The following is a 22,156-nucleotide window of genomic DNA, read 5'->3' on the forward strand; positions in this document are numbered from 1 at the left end:
TGTATTATGTTCATGTCCATTATTTTATTCTGTAATTTATGTCAGAATTAACATTATACCTACTAATTAGATGCAACCTTTTCTGCAAACAGATGAATGTATTAGGTGTTTTATCTCTGTGATTTCCATCATCCTCAAACACTGGGCACAGGCACGAAAAGCAGAGATTTTGTGGTTATTTTGTCAGTTGAGAGATGCATCCGTTTTATCACTGGCAGAGTTTCTGCAGGTCATCTTGCCTTGGTCCAACTGCCTGTAAATATAAGCTCAGTGAATGATGATCTGGATCCTGATTGGTGCACAGGCTCCAGCCCACCCTTCTCCTAACCATGTCTCCCACCATTTGACTTTATTCCACCTTCAGTTCAGCGAGGCTACACTGTTTGCACTACCCAGTACTGAATAGATCCTACCCTTACCTTTCTGCAGGACTTCACCCATGCTGTTTCTTTGCTGCAGATACTTTTTCCTGTCTGCTATTTTGTTTCTACCTCTTCTTCATGGCTCCATCAAGCCTCCCTCTGAGAGCAGTTCAGCATAATCATGTGCCTGTGGTTTTGAGGCTCACAGGACGCTGGGTAAAGCTGTGTGATTTGTGCCCTGCACAGAGGCATCTAACCTGGGGCAGCTGGTGATGAATATGCAGTTTCTGCCTCTTTTAAGATTTGTGAGAGCGTTTCCACATCTCTGTTCTTTTGATAACGGCCGAAGAAGCTGTTTGTAATGCTGTTGCATAGTTACCCAATCCTCTTTTAAGAATAAGTAAGCATTGAAGGTTCACAGCAGATGTGTCATCTTGAAATGAAGTCAGCTAGCTAAATTTGTATGCTGGTTTAGTTCTATTCTTCAAACAAGTTTTATAAGTCCAGCTTCTCCATGCTCATGGATAGGCAGAATCAATATCATTAAAATGGCAATATCAATAACATGAAAAGACAGATCTAGATAATTGAGCAAGTGGAAACAAAATGATGGTATATAAGGTATATTTTTAATCCCATCCATTTAATACTATACAAATGTAAGCATATATTTTTACTTGTGCAACTCACAAATAAATAAGACCATTATATAAGTTGCTAAATTTCTTTTTCTTTCTTTCTTTCTTTTTTTTGAGTTGGAGTCTCACTCTGTCACCCAGGCTGGAGTGTAGTGGCATGATCTCACCTCACTGCAACTTCCCCTTCCCGGGTTCAAGTGATTATCCTGCCTCAGCCTCCTGGGTAACTGAGATTACAGGTGCCCACCACCATGCCTGGCTAATTTTTGTATTTTTAGTAGAGACGGGGTTCACCATGTTTGCCAGGCTGATCTCGAACTCCTAGCCTCAAGTGATCCACCCACTTCGGCCTCCCAAAATACTGGTATTATAGGCCTGAGCCACCGCACCTGGCCAAACTGCTAAATTTCTAATAGGCTATCTACGCCCAAAGCAATTTATAGATTCAATGCTATCTATATTAAACTACCATTGAGTTTCTTCACAGAAATAGATGAAACTATTTTAAAATTCATATGGAACCAAAAAAAAAAAAAAAAAAAAGATCCCAAATAGCCAAGGCAATCCTAAACAAAAAGAACAAAGCTGGAGGCATCATGCTACCCAACTTCAAACTACACTACAGGGCTACAGTAACCAAAACAGCATGGTACTGCTACAAAAACAGACACATAGACCCAACGGAATAGAGAATAGAGAATCCAGAAATAAGGCCGCATACCTATAGCTATCTGATCTCTGACAAACCTGTCAAAAACAAGCAATGGGGAAAGAATCCCCTACTCAATAAATGGTGCTGGGATACCTGGCTAGCCATATGCCAAAGACTGAAACTGGACCTCTTGCTTACACCATATATTACAAGAATTAACTCAAGATAGATTAAAGACTTAAATGTAAAACCCAGAACTATAAAAACCCTGGAAAACAACTTAGGTAATACCACTCAGGACACAGGCACAGGCAAAGATTTCATGATGAAGATGCCAAAAGCAATTGCAACGAAAGCAAAAATTAACAAATGGGATCTAATTAAACTAAAGAGCTTCGACACAGCAAAACAAACTATCAACAGAGTGAACAGACAACCTACAGAATGGGAGAAAACTTTGGCAACCTATCCATCTGATAAACGTCTAATATCCCACATCTGTAAGGAACTTAAACAAATTTACAAGGCAAAAACAAACAACTACATTACCAAGCGGGCAAAGGACATCAACAGACACTTTTCAAAAGAAGACATATGCATGGCCATCAAGCATATGAAAAAAAGCTCAACATCACTGATCATTAGAGAAATGCAAATCAAAACTACAATAAGATACCATCTCACACCAGTCAGAATGGCTATTATTAAAAGTCAAAAAATAACATGCTGGTGAGGTTTTGGAGAAAAAGGAACACCTATACACTGCTGGTTGGAATGTAAATTTGTTCAACCATTGTGGAAGGCCTCAAAGACCTAAAGACAGAAATATCATTTGACCCAGCAATCGCATTACTGATTATATACCCAAAGGAATAGAAATTGTTCTATTGTAAAGACACATGCATGCATATGTTCATGCAGCACTATTCACAACAGCAAAGACATGGAATCAACCCATGTGCCCATCAATGACAGACTGGATAAAGAAAATGTGGTACTTATATACCATGGAATACTATGCAGCCATAAAAAAGAATGAGATCATGTCCTTTGCAGGAACATGGATGGAGCTGGAGGCCATTATCCTTAGCAAACTAATGCAGGAACAGGAAACCAAATACTGAATGTTCTCACTTATAAGTGGGAGCTAAATGATGAGAACACATGGACACACAGAAGGAAACAACACACACCAGGACCTATCAGAGGGTGAAGGGTGGGAGGAGGGAGAGGATCAGGAAAAATAACTAATGGGTACTAGGCTTAATGTCTGGGTGATGAAGTAATCTGTACAACAGACACATGTTTACCTATGTACCTGCACATGTACCCCTGACCTTGTTTAAAAAAAATGTCCAGCTTCACCATAGGTTATATCTTAGCTAATTGGGCTTCTAGTGACATAAAGGGCTGCAATGTATGGGCAATGAGTGAAGATAGTTCTTGGAATAACAGAAAGATTACCCTTAAGAACTTGGAAGAACAGTTTCCTCTGGTAATTAAATCAATTAATTCTACTAGTAATATAATAAGACAGACCCTAGGAATAGCAATATTCATTCGTTAATTCATTCAGCAAATATGTAGGTGCCTACGCTGTACCAGGAACTGTTCTAATTGCTGGGGATGCAGACACAGGTCCGTCTTTCACAGAGCTTATATTTGCAGTTTGAGTAGACAAATGATACATTAACAGAAGAATAGTTATAAGTTATGAAGAAATAAGGAAAGGTGATACAGTATGGAGCAACATGGGGACAAATTTAGATTGGATTGTAGCTTAATCATTTACTAACTATAGTTTAATTTATTTTACCAACACAACAAAAAAAGGGACTGTTTCATCAGAAGGAGAATATTAGCAATAGCCATAGGAAATGGGAGTCAGGAAGCTCTTATGGGTAAGAGATGTTGGTTTGGGTGCCACGACCAATCTGGGTCACAGTGGAGAATTTTTGCATGATGGGGAAAAAACAAGTCATTGGTTTCACTTTGCCTTGGATGGAACATACCTTATGCCTTGAGATATGGCACCTCTCTCTGCTCTATTGCCGTGATCAACAAAATGTCTTTTGATCACTAGTTTAGTTACCCAATTCCTTTTATGTGGTTAAAGAAGGTACCAGAAAAAGGGCACGGGAGCACTCTGGTTAATCGAAGGGAGGTATTTCCACACTGTGAATTGGTGAACAGGCTCCTGGTTTGTAGATAAGTCTTGTGTACATTTAGTCCACTATTGAGAGTTTCTTGATTTCCTGGTGTCAGTATAATCTGGTTTCTGATACTACAAAGCCAAGACCAGATCTTTCACTATGGAGAAATCACAATAATGCCTCTCTAGGTATTCTCTAAAAATCACCTAGCCAAGCTTTCCATTTACTTCACCCTTCTTTCAAACTTCAGAACCATGCTATTCTGAGATGCTGATCAATACACATGGAAAGAATAAATCTCCTACAAGCAAATGCTAGCAAATACAAGTTTCTCTTCCATAGTGCATACACAGATGTGTTTTCTTTCATTCAGTGCTGTGAATACCCAGTGCAAACTTACGAGTCTTATTTTTGTTTACAGTGGAAAACTTGAGCCAGGCATGACTTACACAAAATTAATCGATGCAGATGTTAACGTTGGAAACATTACAAGTGTTCAGTTCATCTGGAAAAAACATTTGTTTGAAGATTCTCAGAATAAGTTGGGAGCAGAAATGGTGATAAATACATCTGGGAAATATGGATATAAGTAAGTATTGCTTTTTCCTTTTCATTTTCGTAGTTTACATTTTATAAATGGTGTTTAAACCCACAGATAATTTGAAATGTGCAAGTAGCATAAAAATTTATAGACTTTGAAATTTTGCAATTAAAGAAAGGGAAAAGTTAAGAAACCAATGCTATATGTGCAGAAGTGTTAGAAAATAAGAATTACTCATTAAATCGGGGGATCTACCGTGTCTTTTTCTTCCCTGGCATCAGGTTAAAATTCCTTTTTTTTTTCCTTAAAAACTTTCAGATCTACCTTCTGTAGCCAAGACATTATGGGACCTAATATTCTCCAGAACCTGAAACCATGCTAATCTCAGATACAGTCTTGATGGATTTCTTTAGTAGGAGCAATGAAGAAAAGTGTCTCCTTCCACCTGGCATCCAGACCAAATTTGACCCTTGTAAATGACTTAGTCATTTACAAGGGTCTTACTCAGAGTCAAGTACGGGTTTGCTTTTTTTCTGTGTAGAATGTTCATCTAACTGCACCTTAAAAACACACTGAACCCTGGGACAAAAGATAATTACTATGATCTGTAGGAATCTGGATATCATTGACAAAATAGAGCTGTTTTGGAATTTTCCTGAATAAGAGGAGGTGATGCAAATGTATGTTGAGTGTATAAACTCACTGGACAAAAGTAAGCCTCTGGCTTGCTGAGTTTTTGAAGTATATTTTCAGGTATAATAATCATTGTTCTAAAATTATATAAAACTATTTGTTATGTTGTTAAATCTTGCTGAGACAAATTATGACTATAGTGCATGATATATAGTAGATTATAACCTTGTGGGTTGATGTGTCTATCTAGTAATAATAAAAACTAATGAGATGGCACTAGTATTTCCAAGGTGTTCCTTGGTGTTCAGGGTGTGCACAAGAGAGATTTTGGAGCTTATCTGTTATGTGTTCATCAGTTAGCAATGGGACCTGAAGTTCAACAACCCAGGGTATAGCCCCCTTCCTCCAAAGTCCCTGCCACAGGAGAATTACTCCTCTCCCTGGGTCTTGAATGCTCTATGGTGAATTTGTATTTAGCCTCAAGGCAGCATTTCATTTGTAAAGCACTTGGGTAACCCTTTGTTCTTGCAATAACAATATTATAATATTTAAATGTGTCCATTGTGTTTCTTTTTTCTTTATGTTGCTTCAATTTCTTCCAAGTCGGTTGTCCTTAGCCAGCGAAAGGGAGAAATTTCATACTTTCATTTGCTCTGTTTTCTATCACTAGGCTCAGTGTTTAGCCTATAGGTCTGCGCTATAAATATTGTTGGAAGGAAATGATGACAGATACTCTGCAGAGGGTTTCTCGATTCTCCTTGGTGCCTCGCTGCCAGCTGAACCTTCAGAAAGACCCGTGGGTGTACATAAATAAATCTGTGCTGTGGTGGAAAGCAGAGAAGCATGTGGGATGACTCTCCCATTTTGCAAGGAAGGGATGGAAGATTGCTGGGGAGAAGGAGGAAAGCAGGTTCAGGGACATTGGCATGATGTAGCGGTGTGTACTGCTCTCACTGGTGGGCTGCACATATTCACACCTAGGCCAACCTAGGAGCACAGTGGCTATGAGTAAGCTCAGTAGAAGGGACTGAGCCATACTGAGTAATTGTGTCGCAGTCCAGCATTCATTAGCAAGCTGGTGGTGGAGTCAGCACAGACCCTGGGGAGAGAAGTCTTCCTGAGAGCAGCTGTCCCGAGCCTGCACAGGTCCCAAGGTAGAGGAAGAGTTATGCATCCGGCCGTGGCCTTAGGCAACGTGAGTACTAGCTGCCTCCTCACCCAGGAGATCTCTAGGCTGGCTCCTTCAAGGTTTGAAAAGACTAATGGGAGTCAATTAACTTCTGAGAACCCTATTTTAATAAAGTATAGACTTACTGTCCTATAGTTCTTAATATCTGTCCCCTTTTTTGCATTATAAGAATGTATGAGGATGAATAATAGTGCATGAACTATCTAGGCAAAGGAATTCCAAAAGTTCAAGGTGACGCCATTATTTTCTGTGTGTGCTTTTCCCTAAGGAAGCACCAAAAAAAATGATTCCCTTTCCCTCTGAGTGCCCTGCATTATTGTAGCAAGCAATTGTGGCCTACTACTGTTTGGGCAAGGACTGTTAGGGAATTGTTCTGCTTCCTAGATGAATGCTGAAAATGCAGTCCAATTACCCATTACTCCCTCCACTCTCTGTGACTATTGACCCACACTCATGCCTTGTCATCATATCACTCAAAAATGCGCACCTCCAAACTCGCCACGCGGAATGTCCTCTTTGACCACAGTTGCCTCCCCTTCCGGCTTGCTGACTTTTTTTTTTTTTTAACTGTTAGGCAAAATCTTAACCTTGAATACTTTCAGATTTCTTTTCTCTGGGCCAGCACCTGAAGTGCTGTTGGGACAGTGGTACCACAGAGAAGACGGATGTAATTAGAATGTATATGATATGATGTATATTGTGATCAGCACTGTCCTGAAATGCGTTTCTTTTGACACCTCCTGCCCCAAACTCTTCTGCTACTCCTACTTTATATAGAAAACAGATGCCATGATCCGATAGCAATCTCTACTCTTTTTTTTTTTTCTCTGTCGCCCAGGCTGGAGTGCAGTGGCGCGATCTCTGCTCACTGCAAGCTCCACCTCCCGGGTTCACGCCATTCTCCTGCCTCAGCCTCCCCAGGTGCCCGCCACCAAGCCCAGCTAATTTTTTTGTATTTTTAGTAGAGACAGGGTTTCACCATGTTAGCCAGGATGGTCTTGATCTCCGGACCTCGTGATCTGCCCGCCTTGGCCTCCCAAAGTGCTGGGATTACAGGCGTGAACCACCGCTCCCAGCCAGCAATCTCTACTCTTTTTGATCCAAACACATCAACTACCTACATCTGCATCCATTCTATCCTTTTTCTTTCTAATAAGGAAGCTGCCTCTTCTTTCCCAGGCTAATCCCTGCCTCTGTGCAGTGGCCTCCACCCTCTCCTGCTTTCTTGGGAACACTGCCCTGCGGGTTACTTTTTCTTTCTTTTGTATATTCAACTTATCATTGCATCCGGTTTTTAAAATCTGAAGTCCCTGCCATTACAAAATAAAATAAAATAAATCCTTCCCCATCCTAAATTCCTCTCTGCTCCCATCTGACTTTAGAACAGCTCTCACCCAGATTTCCAATGACCACCAGTCACAAAGTCAAATGGGAAATTCTACTCATTTGCTCCGTCCCATAGCAGAGTTCAACACTGTTGTCAACTCCCTGCCACTCTCTCTCTTTTTAAAAATTAAAAAAAAAAAAATTATTTTTGGCCAGGCGCGGTGGCTCACACCTGTAATCCCAGCACTTTGGGAGGCCGAGGCGGGCGGATCATGAGGTCAGGAGATCGAGACCATCCTGGCTAACACAGTGAAACCCCGTCTGTGCTAAAAATACAAAAAATTAGGCATGGTTGCGGGTGCCTGTAGTCCCAGCTACTCGGGAGGCTGAGGCAGGGGAATGGCGTGAACCCCGGGAGGCGGAGTTTGCAGTGAGCCAAGATCGCGCCACTGCCACCACACTCCAGCCTGGGCGACACAGCGAGACTCCATCTAAAAAAAAAATATATATTTGTAGAAACTTTTAAATATTCACAACAGCAAAAAAAGCAGTAAACTAGCACCCCCAGGTGCCTGTCAACCAGTTTATCAATTTTCATATATTGCCAATCCTATTTTATGAGTGTGCACACAAACACTCTCCCTATTTTTGTTTTGTTTGTTTTTGCTGGAGTATTTTAAGCCAAATCCTAGACATAATGCTGTTTCTCCCATTTATACTTTAGTATGTATCTGTAAATGATAAACTTGCTTACCTGTCAGGCCTCTGAGCCCAAGCTAAGCCATCATATCCCCTGTGACCTGCACGTACACATCCAGATGGCTGGTTCCTGCCTTAACTGATGACATTCCACCACAAAAGAAGTGAAAATGCCCTGTTCCTGCTTTAACTGATGACATTGTCTTGTGAAATTCCTTCTCCTGGCTCATCCTGGCTCAAAAGTTCCCCTACTGAGAACCCTGTGACCCCCACTCTACCCGCTAGAGAACAACCCCCCTTTGACTGTAATTTTCTTTCACCTACCCAAATCCTATAAAACGGTCCCACCCCTATCTCCCCTCACTGACTCTCTTTTCGGACTCAGCCCACCTGCACCCAGGTGATTAAAAGCTTTATTGCTCACACAAAGCCTGTTTGATGGTCTCTTTACACGGACACGCATGAAATTTGGTGCCGTGACTCGGATCGGGGGACCTCCCTTAGGAGATCAATCCCCTGTCCTCCTGCTGTTTGCTCCGTAGAAAGATCCACCTACGACCTCAGGTCCTCAGACCCACCAGCCCAAGAAACATCTCACCAATTTCAAATCCGGTAAGCGGCCTCTTTTTACTCTCTTCTCCAACCTCCCTCATTATCCCTCAACCTCTTTCTCCTTTCAATCTTGGCGCCATACTTCAATCTCTCCCTTCTCTTAATTTCGATTCCTTTCATTTTCTGGTAGAGACAAAGGAGACACGTTTTATCCATGGACCCAAAACTCCGGCGCCGGTCACAGACTAGGGAAGGCAGCCTTCCCTTGGTGTTTAATCATTGCAGGGACGCCTCTCTGATTATTCACCCAGGTTTCAGAGGTGTCAGACCACGCAGGGACGCCTGCCTTGGTCCTTCACCCTTAGCGGCAAGTCCCGCTTTTCTGGGGAAGGGGCAAGTACCCCAACCCCTTATCTCCATGTCTCTACCTCTTCTTCGCCTTTCTGGGGGGCAAGAAACCCCCAACCCCTTCTCCTTCACCCTTAGCGGCAAGTCCCACTTTTCTAGGGGAGGGGCACGTACCCCAACCCCTTATATCTCTGCATGCTGATCCCTTATTTCCGTGCCCCAACCCCTTATATCTCTGTGCCCCGATCCCTTATTTCTGTGCCCCAACCTTGTATCTCTATGCCCCGACCCCTTTCCCGCTTTTCTGGAGGGTAAGAACCCCCGAACCCCTTCCCTCCATGTCTCTACTCTCTCTTTTCTCTGGGCTTCCTTCCTTCACTATGGGCCACCTTCTACCCTCCATTCCTCCTTCTTCTCCCTTAGCCTGTGTTCTTAAGAACTTAAAACCTCTTCAACTCTCACCTGACCTAAAATCTAAGCAACTTATTTTCTTCTGCAATGCCACTTGATCCCAATGCAAACTCGACAGTAGTTCCAAATAGCCAGAATATGGCACTTTCAATTTTTCCATCCTACAAGATCTAAATAATTCTTGTCATAAAATGGGCAAATGGTCTGAGGTGCCTGACGTCCAGGCATTCTTTTACACATCAGTCCCTCTCTAGTCTCTGTTCCCAATGCAACTCATCCCAAATCTTCCTTCTTTCCCTCCCACCTGTCCCCTCAGTCCCAACCCCAAGCATCGCTGAGTCTTTCTAATCTTCCTTTTCTACAGACCCATCTGACCTCTCCCCTCCTCCCCAGGCTGCTCCTCGCCAGGCCAAGGTAGGTCCCAATTCTTCTTCAGCCTCCGCTCCTCCACCCTATAATCCTTTATCACCTCCCCTCCTCACACCGGGTCCGGCTTACAGTTTTGTTCTGCGACTAGCCCTCCCCCACCTGCCCAGCAATTTACTCTTAAAAAGGTGGCTGAAGCTAAAGGCATAGTCAAGGTTAATGCTCCTTTTTCTTTATCAGACCTCTCCCAAATCAGTGAGCGTTTAGGCTCTTTCATCCAATATGAAAAACCCAGCCCAGTTCATGACTCGTTTGGCAGCAACCCTGAAACACTTTACAGCCCTAGACCCTAAAAGGTCAAAAGGCCGTCTTATTCTCAATATACATTTTATTACCCAATCTGCTCCCAACATTAAATAAAACTCCAAAAATTAAATTCCGGCCCTCAAACCCCAAAACAGGATTTAATTAACCTTGCCTTCAAGGTGTACAATAATAGAAAAAAGTTGCAATTCCTTGCCTCCACTGTGAGACAAACCCCAGCCACATCTCCAGTACACAAGAACTTCCAAACACCTGAACCGCAGTGGCCAGGCATTCCTCCAGAACCTCCTCCCCCAGGAGCTTGCTGCAAGTGCCAGAAATCTGGTCACCAGACCAAGGAGTACCTGCAGCCCAGGATTCCTCCTAAGCCGCATCCCATCTGTGCGGGACCCCACTGGAGATTGGACTGTCCAACTCACCTGGCAGCCACTCCCAGAGCCCCTGGAACTCTGGCCCAAGGCTCTCTGACTCCTTCCCAGATGTTCTTGGCTTAGCGGCTGAAGACCGATGCTGCCCGATCGCCTTGGAAGCCCCCTAGACCACGGACGCCGAGCTTCGGGTAACTCTCACAGTGGAGGGTAAGTCTGTCCCCTTCTTAATCAATACCGAGGCTACTTACTCCACATTACCTTATTTTCAAGGGCCTGTTTCCCTTGCCTCCATAACTGTTGTGGGTATTGACGGCCAGGCTTCTAAACCTCTTAAAACTCCCCAACTCTGGTGCCAACTTAGACAATACTCTTTTAAGCACTGCTTTTTAGTTATCCCCACCTGCCCAGTTCCCTTATTAGGCAGAGACACTTTAACTAAATTATCTGCTTCCCTGACTATTCCTGGATTACAGCTACATCTCATTGCTGCCCTTCTTCCCAATCCAAAGCCTCCTTTGCGTCCTCCTCTTGTATTCCCTTACCTTAACCCACAAGTATAAGATACCTCTACTCCCTCCTTGGCGACCGATCATGCACCCATTACCATCCCATTAAAACCTAATCACCCTTACCCCGCTCAACTCCAATATCCCATCCCACAGCATGCTTTAAAAGGGTTAAAGCCTGTTATCACTCACCTGTTACAGCATGGCCTTTTAAAGCCTATAAACTCTCCTTACAATTCCCCCATTTTACCTGTCCTAAAACCAGACAAGACTTACAGATTAGTTCAGGATCTGCGCCTTATCAACCAAATTGTTTTGCCCATCCACCCTGTGGTGCCCAACCCATACACTATTTTGTCCTCAATACCTTCCTCCACAACTCACTATTCCATTCTTGATCTTAAAGATGCTTTTTTCACTATTCCCCTGCACCCCTCGTCCCAGCCTCTCTTTGCTTTCACCTGGACTGACCCTGACACCCATCAGTCCCAGCAGCTTACCTGGGCTGTGCTACTGCAAGGTTTCAGGGACAGTCCTCATTACTACAGCCAAGCTCTTTCTCATGATTTACTTTCTTTCCACCCCTCCGCTTCTTACCTTATTCAATATATTGATGACCTTCTTCTTTGCAGCCCTTCCTTTGAATCTTCTCAACAAGACACTTCTGCTCTTTCAGCATTTATTCTCCAAAGAATATCAGGTATCCCCCTCCAAATCCCAAATTTCTTCTCCATCTGTTACCTACCTCGGCATAATTCTTCATAAAAACTCACGTGCTCTCCCTGCTGATCATGTCCAATTAATCTCCCAAACCTGAATCCCTTACAAAACAACAACTCCTTTCCTTCCTAGGCATGGTTAGTGCAGTCAGAATTCTTACACAAGAGCCAGGACCACACCCTGAAGCCTTTCTGTCCAAACAACTTGACCTTACTGTTTTAGCCTAGCCATCATGTCTCCGTGCAGCGGCTGCTGCCACCCTAATAGTTTTAGAGGCCCTCAAAATCACAAACTATGCTCAACTTACTCTCTACATTTCTCATAACTTCCAAAATCTATTTTCTTCCTCACACCTGACGCATATACTTTCTGCTCCCCGGCTCCTTCAGCTGTACTCACTCTTTGTTAAGTCCCACAATTACCATTGTTCCTGGCCCGGACTTCAATCTGGCCTCCCACATTATTCCTGATACCACACCTGAGCCCCATGACGGTATCTCTCTGATCCACCTGACATTCACCCCATTTCCCCATATTTCCTTCTTTCCTGTTCCTCACCCTGATCACGCTTGATTTATTGACGGCAGTTCCACCAGGCCTAATCGCCACACACCAGCAAAGGCAAGCGATGCTATAGTACAAGCCACTAGCTCGCCTCTTAGAACCTCTCATTTTCTTTCCATCGTGGAAATCTATCCTCAAGGAAATAACTTCTCAGTGTTCCATCTGCTATTCTACTACTCCTCAGGGATTATTCAGGCCCCCTCCCTTCCCTACACATCAAGCTCGAGGATTTGCCCCCACCCAGGACTGGCAAATTAGCTTTACTCAACATGCCCCGAGTCAGATAACTAAAATACTTCTTAGTCTAGGTAGACACTTTCACTGGATAGGTAGAGGCCTTTCCTATAGGGTCTGAGAAGGCCACCGCAGTCATTTCTTCCCTTCTGTCAGACATAATTCCTCAGTTTAGCCTTCCCACCTCTATACAGTCTGATAACAGACCAGCCTTTATTAGTCAAATCAGCCAAGCAGTTTTTCAGGCTCTTAGTATTCAGTGAAACCTTTATATCCCTTACGGTCCTCCGTCTTCAGGAAAAGTAGAACGGACTAAAGGTCTTTTAAAAACACACCTCACCAAGCTCAGCCACCAACTTAAAAAGGACTGGACAATACTTTTACCACTTTCCCTTCTCAGAAGTCAGACCTGTCCTCAATGTTACAAGGTACAGCCCATTTGAGCTCCTGTATAGATGCTCCTTTTTATTAGGCCCCAGTCTCATTCCAGACACCAGACCAACTTAGACTGTGCCCCAGAAAAACTTGTCATTCCTACTATCTTCTGTCTAGTCATACTCCTATTCACCATTCTCAACTACTCATACATGCCCTGCTCTTGTTTAAACTGCCGGTTTACACTGTTTCTCCAAGCCATCACAGCTGATAGCTCCTGGTGCTATCCCCAAACTGCCACTCTTAACTCTTGAAGTAAATAAATAATCTTTGCTGGCAGGACTATGCTGAATCTCCTTAGGCACTCTCTAATCAGATGTCCTGAGTCATCCCAATTCTTAGACCTTTTATACCTGTTTTTCTCCTTCTCTTATTCCATTTAGTTTTTCAATTCATACAAAACTGTATCCAGGCCATCACCAATAATTCTAAATGACAAATGTTTCTTCTAACAACCCCACAATATCACCCCTTACCACAAAATCTTCCTTCACCTTAATCTCTCCCACTCTAGGTTCTCACACTGCCCCTAATCCCGCTCGAAGCAGCCCTGAGAAACATCGCCCATTATCTCTCCATACCATCCCCCAAAATTTTCGCTGTCCAAACACTTTACCACTATTTCATTTTATTTTTCTTATTAATATAAGAAGACAGGAATGTCAGGCCTCTGAGCCCAAGCTAAGCCATCATATCCCCTGTGACCTGCACGTACACATCCAGATGGCCGGTTCCTGCCTTAACTGATGACATTCCACCACAAAAGAAGTGAAAATGGCCTGTTCCTGCTTTAACTGATGATATTGTCTTGTGAAATTCCTTCTCCTGGCTCATCCTGACTCAAAAGCTCCCCTACTGAGCACCTTGTGACCCCCACTCTGCCCGTCAGAGAACAACCACCCTTTGACTGTAATTTTCCTTTACCTACCCAAATCCTGTAAAACAGCCCTACCCCTATCTCCCTTCGCTGACTCTCTTTTTGGACTCAGCCTGCCTGCACCCAGGTGATTAAAAGCTTTATTGCTCACACAAAGCCTGTTTGATGGTCTCTTTACACGCACGTGCATGAAATTACCGTTAACTACAAAATGAATTTCATAAAAATTAACAATAATCATTTTTAAGTGAATTTGAGATTAACTGAAAAATTAAGTCATTTAAAAATATCATTTTATATTCAAGTTGTATTGAAATTTCCCAGATTGTCTCAAAAATGGCTTTTGGCAGTTAATTTGTTTAAATTGGGATCCAAGCAAGGTCCACACACTGTGTTTGATTGACATGTTCCTAAATCTCTTCCTCTGTAGCAGCTTCCCCTCTCGCTTCTTCCACACTAATTATTAAATAAACCAGGTCAATCATCCTATAAAAATGCTCACATAAAACTGATGGAATTCCCTTGGTATCATTTAAAGTATTTCTCTATCTTGTATATGTACTGTAACTAGTAGTTCGTTTGAGAGGCTTGGTGAGATTCAGGTGTGTCTTCATTAGGCCCTGGGGACGGGCCGCATGCCTGGTAGCCTACAGCCCTGGTAATTTTCACACCTTGCTTACTGCTCTCAAGTTAGCTGCAGACTCCCTTTTTTTTTTCTTAAAGGACTATGTATGTAATAGCATTTTACACATTTGAAAAGGCTATACCAATTCAAATTGTAGGTAAAATAGAGTATCGAATGGCTTGGAATCTGGTTGCTCAATGGCAGGCTAAGAGGAGAAAGGTACCTGGGAGAATGTTTACAAGGGTTTGTGCTCCAGGACTGGAGGAAAGAAAGGGGCAAATATTAGAGTTGTGTAAAGATCCAGTTACGTCAGAAGCACTGACCTCTGTACTATGCCTAGGGCTAGGGGAAATAAAGCAGAAGCTAAAGGAAGATTCTGACACCGGGTTGAGTTGCATGGCTATTTATTTCCCCAGGCTCATCATTGATGGCAGTGATGGGAGTGAATAATAGAAATTCTCCTGTTCAATACAGCCTTCAGATTTTGTTGACTCTGGAACTCTCCAGAACAAGCAGGGGGGCCTTAGGAACAGGAGAATAATAATTCATGCCAAGTTATTGTTTCTCAGTCTTTTAAAACCTAAGCTCATGTTAGATAAACAAAAAATTCTCATGTCCCTCCTGGGGTCTTCTCCACTTGGTAAAAGCAATCTTTTCTTTCATAGACCCTCTGGCCAAGAAGATTTTGTAAATCTTCACTTTCTGTAGATTGTGTAATAAAAATGATAGATGTAGCTTGTGTTGTGTTGTTTTATACTTTTTCCCAAAAATACATACTTATAACACTAGATGGGCTTCTTTCTTTTATGCTTGCTTTTCTGTGAGTTCTGCCCTATGGGATTTGAGTGTTATACTCAGGAGAGTAGAGTCTACCAGATTTTATTCCAATAAGGGAGGCCAAATGTCTATATAGTCAGGGCCAAAGATTTTTGGCAGATGTTTTCTTCCTTATACAGCCTATTTTCTATGTTTGAGTTTTGCAAACATTTAGCCTTCACATACTCATATATTTCTCTTTACTTTTATAGGCTTTTCTCCCATTCATTTACTTAACAAACATTTATTGAGTTATCCTTATGTGCCAAGCATTGTGCTAAATAATGAGGCTATATAATAAAAAGATATATAGTCCCTATTCTCAAGGGACACACAGCATTGAAGAGGGCACAGGAGAGGAGATCACTGATTTTAATACTGCATGACAAGGATTATAACAGAAGCAGACACAGGGGTGAGAGAAGCACAGAAAAGAACCAGCTTTCTCAGCTAGTCTTAAGACCTTTGCTCTCCACACATTGATCTCCTATGGGAACAATAACTACAGAGAGAGAAAACAGTGGGTTTTCTTTTCTGAATTCTGTGGTTACCACACATATGTTGTCATAAGCAATCTCACTTTGGAATTCAGAGTACTTTATTTTTCTGGAAGCTATGGTCCTGGAGAATAGAACTGACATTTCATTCATCCGTACACACATACATCTACCCATCAAGGATGTATTGACTGTCATCTGAAGCCAGAGAAGCAGTAATTTCCTTGAGGGTGCTAGACCAAGGGAGCACAGGCCATGCCCAATAGATTTAGGACAAATCCAACCAGACCATGACTAACCCACTCACCTCAGGCTCCTCTCGGACACAGTCCAGTGGCCCTAACTGGGTCAATTGCAGAACAGTGTCCATTGAGCATGAAGACAGATGCAATTACCAAACTTTAATCCATCATTTAGGAATAATCACAGCAAACCTAACATTTAAAATAACTTAAGGCTAGAAACGTGAGTGTGTGAAGGAAGAAAAAAAAGTCACTTAAAGATAAAGAAAAGAGCATATTGGCAGCGGGCAATGCTTCCCGACGGTTCCTTTATGTCAGACAAGACTCTCACACTCTTTATTCAACTAAGAACTCGGTCCAGCCGGGCGCGGTGGCTCACGTCTGTAATTCCAGCACTTTGGGAGGCCGAGGAGGGCGGATCACGAGGTCAGGAGATCGAGACCATCCTGGCTAACACGGTGAAACCCCGTCTCTACTAAAAATACAAAAAAATTAGCCGGGCGCGGTGGCAGGCGCCTATAGTCCCAGCTACTCGGGAGGCTGAGGCAGGAGAATGGAGTGAACCCGGGAGGCGGAGCTTGCAGTGAGCCAAGATAGCGCCACTGCACTCAGGCCTGGGCGAAAAAGCGAGACTCCGTCTCAAAAAAAAAAAACAAAAAACAAAAAACAAAAAAACTCAATCCAAGTCGCTATATTGCAAGTGTGGGAAAAGGGAAGAGAGTGATTCTCATCTGGCTTAAAAATGAAAATATATGCGTATATATATAGCTTCTGGAGAGCAGAAAGGAATTTAAATTTTATTTCTACAGCAAAACATTTTTAAGTCAACCAATCAGAATTAGACCTTTCATAAGATGAGGGCTACATTCATAGACTATAACGTCAATATCTAAAGTCCAGGTGTTTTACCAAAGTCTTTTTAGCATTTGGAAATAGCACTTACAGCAACATTTTTATTATGCATGATGCCATTTACTTTTTCTCTGAAGCTGCAGGGGAAATATGCAACATTTCCTGTCTTATTTACAGAAGTTTCTTTCACCAGCACTTACAAAGGCCCATGAATTTTCGAGGCCAAAAACTGTAATTCCATTGGTTATCACAGAGAGAAAGAAACAGGCCCAAGGCACCCAAAACAAAAAACTTGAAAAAAGAAAAATGCAAAAGACAAATGGAACATTTGGCCGGAAGACAAATGGAACATGTTGATATTTTGTACCAGCAATGCAGATGACATTTTCTGAAATCTTAGAAACAGAAGTTTATTTCTGTTTGAACTTCCACAATATCTTAGAATCTAATATAGTGAATAGAGCATAGAATGGTGAATTAAGAGGATCTGGGATCTAGTTCTGATTCCAGCATCAATTAATGAAGTGGACTTGAGCAAATCTATTCTCCCCTTTAATCTTCAGTGTATCCATCTGTAAAACGAAGATAACATTCATGATTTCTGGGGTTACTTTCTTATTGTGAAATCCTTGAGGAAAATTAGGTTACAGAATGTGTACAGGAATGACTGGATAGATGGATGAATGAATGAATGACTCAGTCAATCAATACAAAAGAAGCTTTGGATTTTCATGTGTGGTCATAATTCTCCCCAATCATATGCAGCTATAATTACATATTTTTATGTTTTAGTGATGTTTACTGATTGCACCAAATAAATTCTAATTTTCCAAAAGTTTGATTTGTCTTTTTATTGTGGAAAGCCTTAGTTGACTTTAATAGATTTATTACAGTGCCCTCTAGTGGAAGAATGAGCATATTGTGTCATCCTGCCGCTGCTTAGTAATCAACAAACCTCTACATTTCACACATTTTTAATGAATCAAACCTCTATGCTTCTTGCAGTGAAATTTTCAGTTTTCAAGATCTCACTTGGATTAAAATTCTGGTTTATAACCAATCTTGAAATTTAGCAACAACAACATGTATTAAGGTAGAATATCATTTTTTAAAAAAACCCTCTCCTAATTATTGACTGATGCTCTTGGAGTAAGTGTACATTGGGCTATATAAAACATAAAGGACAAACCTCAATGCGTTCTCCAAATGCATGAATTACAACCAGGAAAGAAAGAAGATTCTGATATCCTGAACTCTTTGCTGGTTTACCATGTATGTTTCTGTCACATGTTTCAGGTGGGACAGGGACAGTACCCGTGGAACGCAGAAGAGGAGCACCAGGATGGAGAAACTCTAGCCTCACCGACTGTTTAGGTTGTGAGAGCACACGGGGCATGTGCTGTGGGAGTTCTTCAGCTATCTGTCCTCAGGTTACATGGGAACTTACCATCTTACTCACTGGCCTCGGCTTCAATGTAATTGCTGTTGGTGTAGTAATCAATAGACATTTCTCCCCAGAAATTGAACTTTCCTCTTGATTGACCAGCAACTGAAAGCATATGAGGGAAATATTTAAGCTCTGCCTACAAACCAATTTCACACAATTAACTGGTCAGTTTTGTTTTTAAAAAGTGACAAAGGCATTTTAGTCAAGCAACAAAGATGATGTTTTAAAGCAGAATTTCTCCAGTTACTGATTTCAATTTTAATATATCAACATACCAGATACCAACATACCAAAATATAACATTGGTTTGTATGTACAGAGAGTGTTATGGAGTAAATAAAAAGCTAAAAAGAGATGTGATAACTTGAATTCCATAGGATTGAATAATTACCTTAATTAGTACCTTCTAGGACAACATCTGATGTGATTAGTTTCTATAACAACTCTTCATGTTAAATTTAGATCACTCCTCATAGCAAAAGGATAATAGAAAGTTCTATGTCAACTGGCTTAAAAAATATATTTGCATTTTTTAATGTAACTATGGAAAAAAATCCATGAGTAATAAATCTTTGGGGTGCTGAAAATTCTTGCATTGAACAGAGCAAAATCCTGCCATCTCTCTAGCTTTTGTCACCTGAGTAAATCACGTTTCCAGAGGTTCCCTATATCTTTAATTCTAACACTTCATATTCTTTTTCCCTATTTACATCATTGGCAACAGGATAGGCTCCTACCCCACTGAGGAGGATAGGAGGATAAATGAGAACAATGGGTGAATCACAGGTGAGCAAAAACAGTGAGCACTGGAAAATGTATGACACTAATATACTCAGTGTAGTCCAGGCTAATTTCTAGGAAGGAAGCCCCTTAGGAGAGGGGCTGCCACAGTTTACTTTAATTTAAACTTCTTTTTATTGAAGTGTAATATACATACAACAAAGTGCACAAATCATAAGTGTACAGCTCAATTAATTTTTTTTTTTTTTGAGACGGAGTTTCGCTCTGTCTCCCAGGCTGGAGTGCAGTGGTGTGATCTCCACTCACTGCAAGCTCCGCCTCCTGGGTTCACGCCATTCTCCTGCCTCAGCCTCCCGAGTAGCTGGGACTACAGTCTTCCTCCACCACGCCCCGCTAAGTTTTTGTATTTTTAGTAGAGACGGGGTTTCACCATGTTAGCTAGGATGGTCTGGATCTCCTGACCTCGTGATCCATCCACCTTGGCCTCCCAAAGTGCTAGGATTACAGGGATGAGCCTGTAATGCAATGCAATGAGCCTGTAATGCAAACGCGCGCGGTTGCATTAAATTTTAATATAAACCTAGGGATGGAATTGCAGATTTATGAAGCATGTACATATTCCCCTTTAGTAGGTACTGTCGAGAAGCTCTCTGGGTGGGTGTAGTCATTTAAACTCCCATCAGCAGTGCTGAGGGGTTCTTTTTGTCCCACATCCTCACCACATTTGATATTGACAATCCTTTTAATTTTAGCCATTCTGGTGAGTGTGTAGTGATATCTCATTTTGGTTTTAATTTGTTTCTTTGATGACAAATGATCTACAGCATATTTTGACAAATGAGCTACAGCATATTTTTATATCTTTATAGGACATTTACATGTCCTTCGTAGTAGAGTCATTATTAACCTTTTATGCCCATTATTGGTTTCTCTTTTCCATCTTTTTCTTATTGATTGGTAGGAATTCTTTATATATTATTAATATGACTCCTTTGTTGGATATATGTATTGCAAATATTTTCTCCCTGTCTGTATCTTGCCTTTTGCCTTTTCATGCTCTTAATAGTATCTTTTGATGGATAAAAATTCTTAATTCTAATCCATTTTAAGTTTGATTTATCAGACTTTCCCTTGATGATTAGAGTTTTATGTTCTGATTAAGAAATAATTTTACCAATTAAATTCATGCGGATATTTTCCCATGTTATCTTATAAAAGCTCCAGTGTTTTATTTTTAGAACCAAGCAATTAATGTTTGTGTATGGTATGAGGCAGGGTGAAGACCCATTTCAATTGCATATCTAGTGGATCCACTTTTTGAAAAGATCATTTATTCTGTCGCTGAATTGCATTGGTACTTTAACATAAATAAGATGGTTTGCATTTTTATGGGTCTGCTTCTGGACTCTTCTATTTCATGGATCTTTTGGTCTACCATTGTGCCAACACCATACAGTTTTAATTACTGTATCTTTATAATTAATATCTAGATCTGACAATACAAGTCCTTCCAACTTTAAAATATTTTTTCAAGGTCGTTGTTATTCTTTCCCTTTCCTATTTCCAAATACGTTGTTTGGGACAAGTTAACATGCTTACAATATTGACCCTTTCAATTCATAATCATGATATATCCCTCCATTTAGTTATTCTTCTTATTTTATTTTAAGTTCCAGGGTACATGTGTAGGATGTGCAGATTTGTTACATAGGTAAACGTGTGCCATGGTGGCTTGGTGCACCTTTCAACCAATCACCTAAGTATTAAGCCCAGCATGCATTAGCTATTTTTCCTGATGCTCTCTCTCCTCCAACTGCCCCCGCATCACCGACAGGCCCCAGTGTGTGTTCTTCCCCTCCCTGTGCCATGTGTTCTCATTGTTCAGCTCCCACTTATGAGTGAGAACATATTGTGTTTGGTTTTCTGCTTCTGCATTAGTTCGCTGAGGATAATGGCTTCCATCTCCACCCGTGTCCCTGCAAAGGACATGATCTCATTCCTTTTTATGGCTGCATAGTATTCCATGGTGTATATGTACCACATTTTCTTTATCCAGTCTATCACTGATGGGCATTTGGGTTGATTCCATGTCTTTGCTATTGTGAATAGTGCTGTAATGAGCATAAGCATACATGTATCTTTTTTTTGTTTGTTTTTTGAGATGGAGTCTCACTCTGTCCCCCAGGCTGGAGTGCAGTGGCACGATCTCAACTCACTTCAAGCTCTGCCTCCCGGGTTCATGCCATTCTGCTGCCTTAGCCTCCCGGGTAGCTGGGGCTGCATGCACCCGCCACTACGCCCGGCTAATTTTTTGTATTTTTAGTAGAGACGGGGTTTCACCATGTTAGCCAGGATGGTCTCCATCTCCTGACCTCATGATCTGCCTGCCTCGGCCTCCCAAAGTGCTGGGATTGCAGGCATGAGTCACTACGCCCAGCCCTGCGTGCATGTATCTTTATAATAGAATGATTTATATTCCTTTGGTTATATATCCAGTAATGGGATTGCTGAGTCAAATGGTATTTCTGGTTCTAGGTCTTTGAGGAATTGCCACACTGTCTTCCACAATGGTTGAGCTAATTTACACTTCCACCAACAGGGTAAAAGTTGTTCCTGTGTCCCCGCAGCCTCACCAGCATCTGGTATTTCTTGACTTTTAATAAAACAAAAATAGCCATTCTGACTGGTGTGGTTTTTATTTGCATTTCTCTAATAATCAGTGATGTTGAGCTTTTTTAAATGTTTGTTGGCTGCATAAATGTCTTCTTTTGAGAAGTGTGTGTTCATGTCCTTTGCCCACTTTTTAATGGGGTGTTTTTTTCTTGTAAATTTGTTTAAGTTCCTTATAGACTCTGGATGTTAGACCTTTGTCAGATGGATAGGTTGCAAAAATTTTCTTCTATTTTGTAGATTGTCTGTTCATTCTGATGATAGTTTCTTTTGCTGTGCAGAAACTCCTTAGTTTAATTCGATCCCCTTTGTCAGTTTTTGCTTTTGTTGCAATTGCTTTTGGTATTTTCATCATGAAATCTTTG

At 41.5% G+C, this 22,156-nt stretch overlaps 1 protein-coding gene across 5 annotated transcripts in view, besides 1 other annotated feature; it reads left to right on the plus strand.

Moving 5' to 3' along the window:
• PNLIPRP3 (pancreatic lipase related protein 3) overlaps positions 1–5,532 on the plus strand; it is a 50,111-nt gene extending 44,579 nt beyond the window's left edge. For all 5 annotated transcript variants that reach the window (NM_001011709.3, XM_011539276.2, XM_011539279.2 and 2 more), the window contains 2 exons: positions 4,227–4,394; positions 4,665–5,532. In NM_001011709.3, coding sequence (NP_001011709.2) covers positions 4,227–4,394; positions 4,665–4,728 — 232 coding nt within the window. In that variant the 3' untranslated portion in view covers positions 4,729–5,532. The remainder of the gene's footprint in view (positions 1–4,226; positions 4,395–4,664) is intronic.
• Positions 8,151–8,862: an enhancer, noted in NCBI's record as "OCT4-NANOG hESC enhancer chr10:118240088-118240799 (GRCh37/hg19 assembly coordinates)". NCBI's record gives its function as "activates a minimal SCP1, AML or CMV promoter by ChIP-STARR-seq in primed H9 embryonic stem cells {active_cell/tissue: H9 hESC(primed)}" and the evidence as "EXISTENCE:reporter gene assay evidence [ECO:0000049][PMID:30033119]".

Source organism: Homo sapiens, chromosome 10 (assembly GCF_000001405.40).
Source record: "Homo sapiens chromosome 10, GRCh38.p14 Primary Assembly".
Classification (NCBI taxonomy): domain Eukaryota; kingdom Metazoa; phylum Chordata; class Mammalia; order Primates; family Hominidae; genus Homo; species Homo sapiens.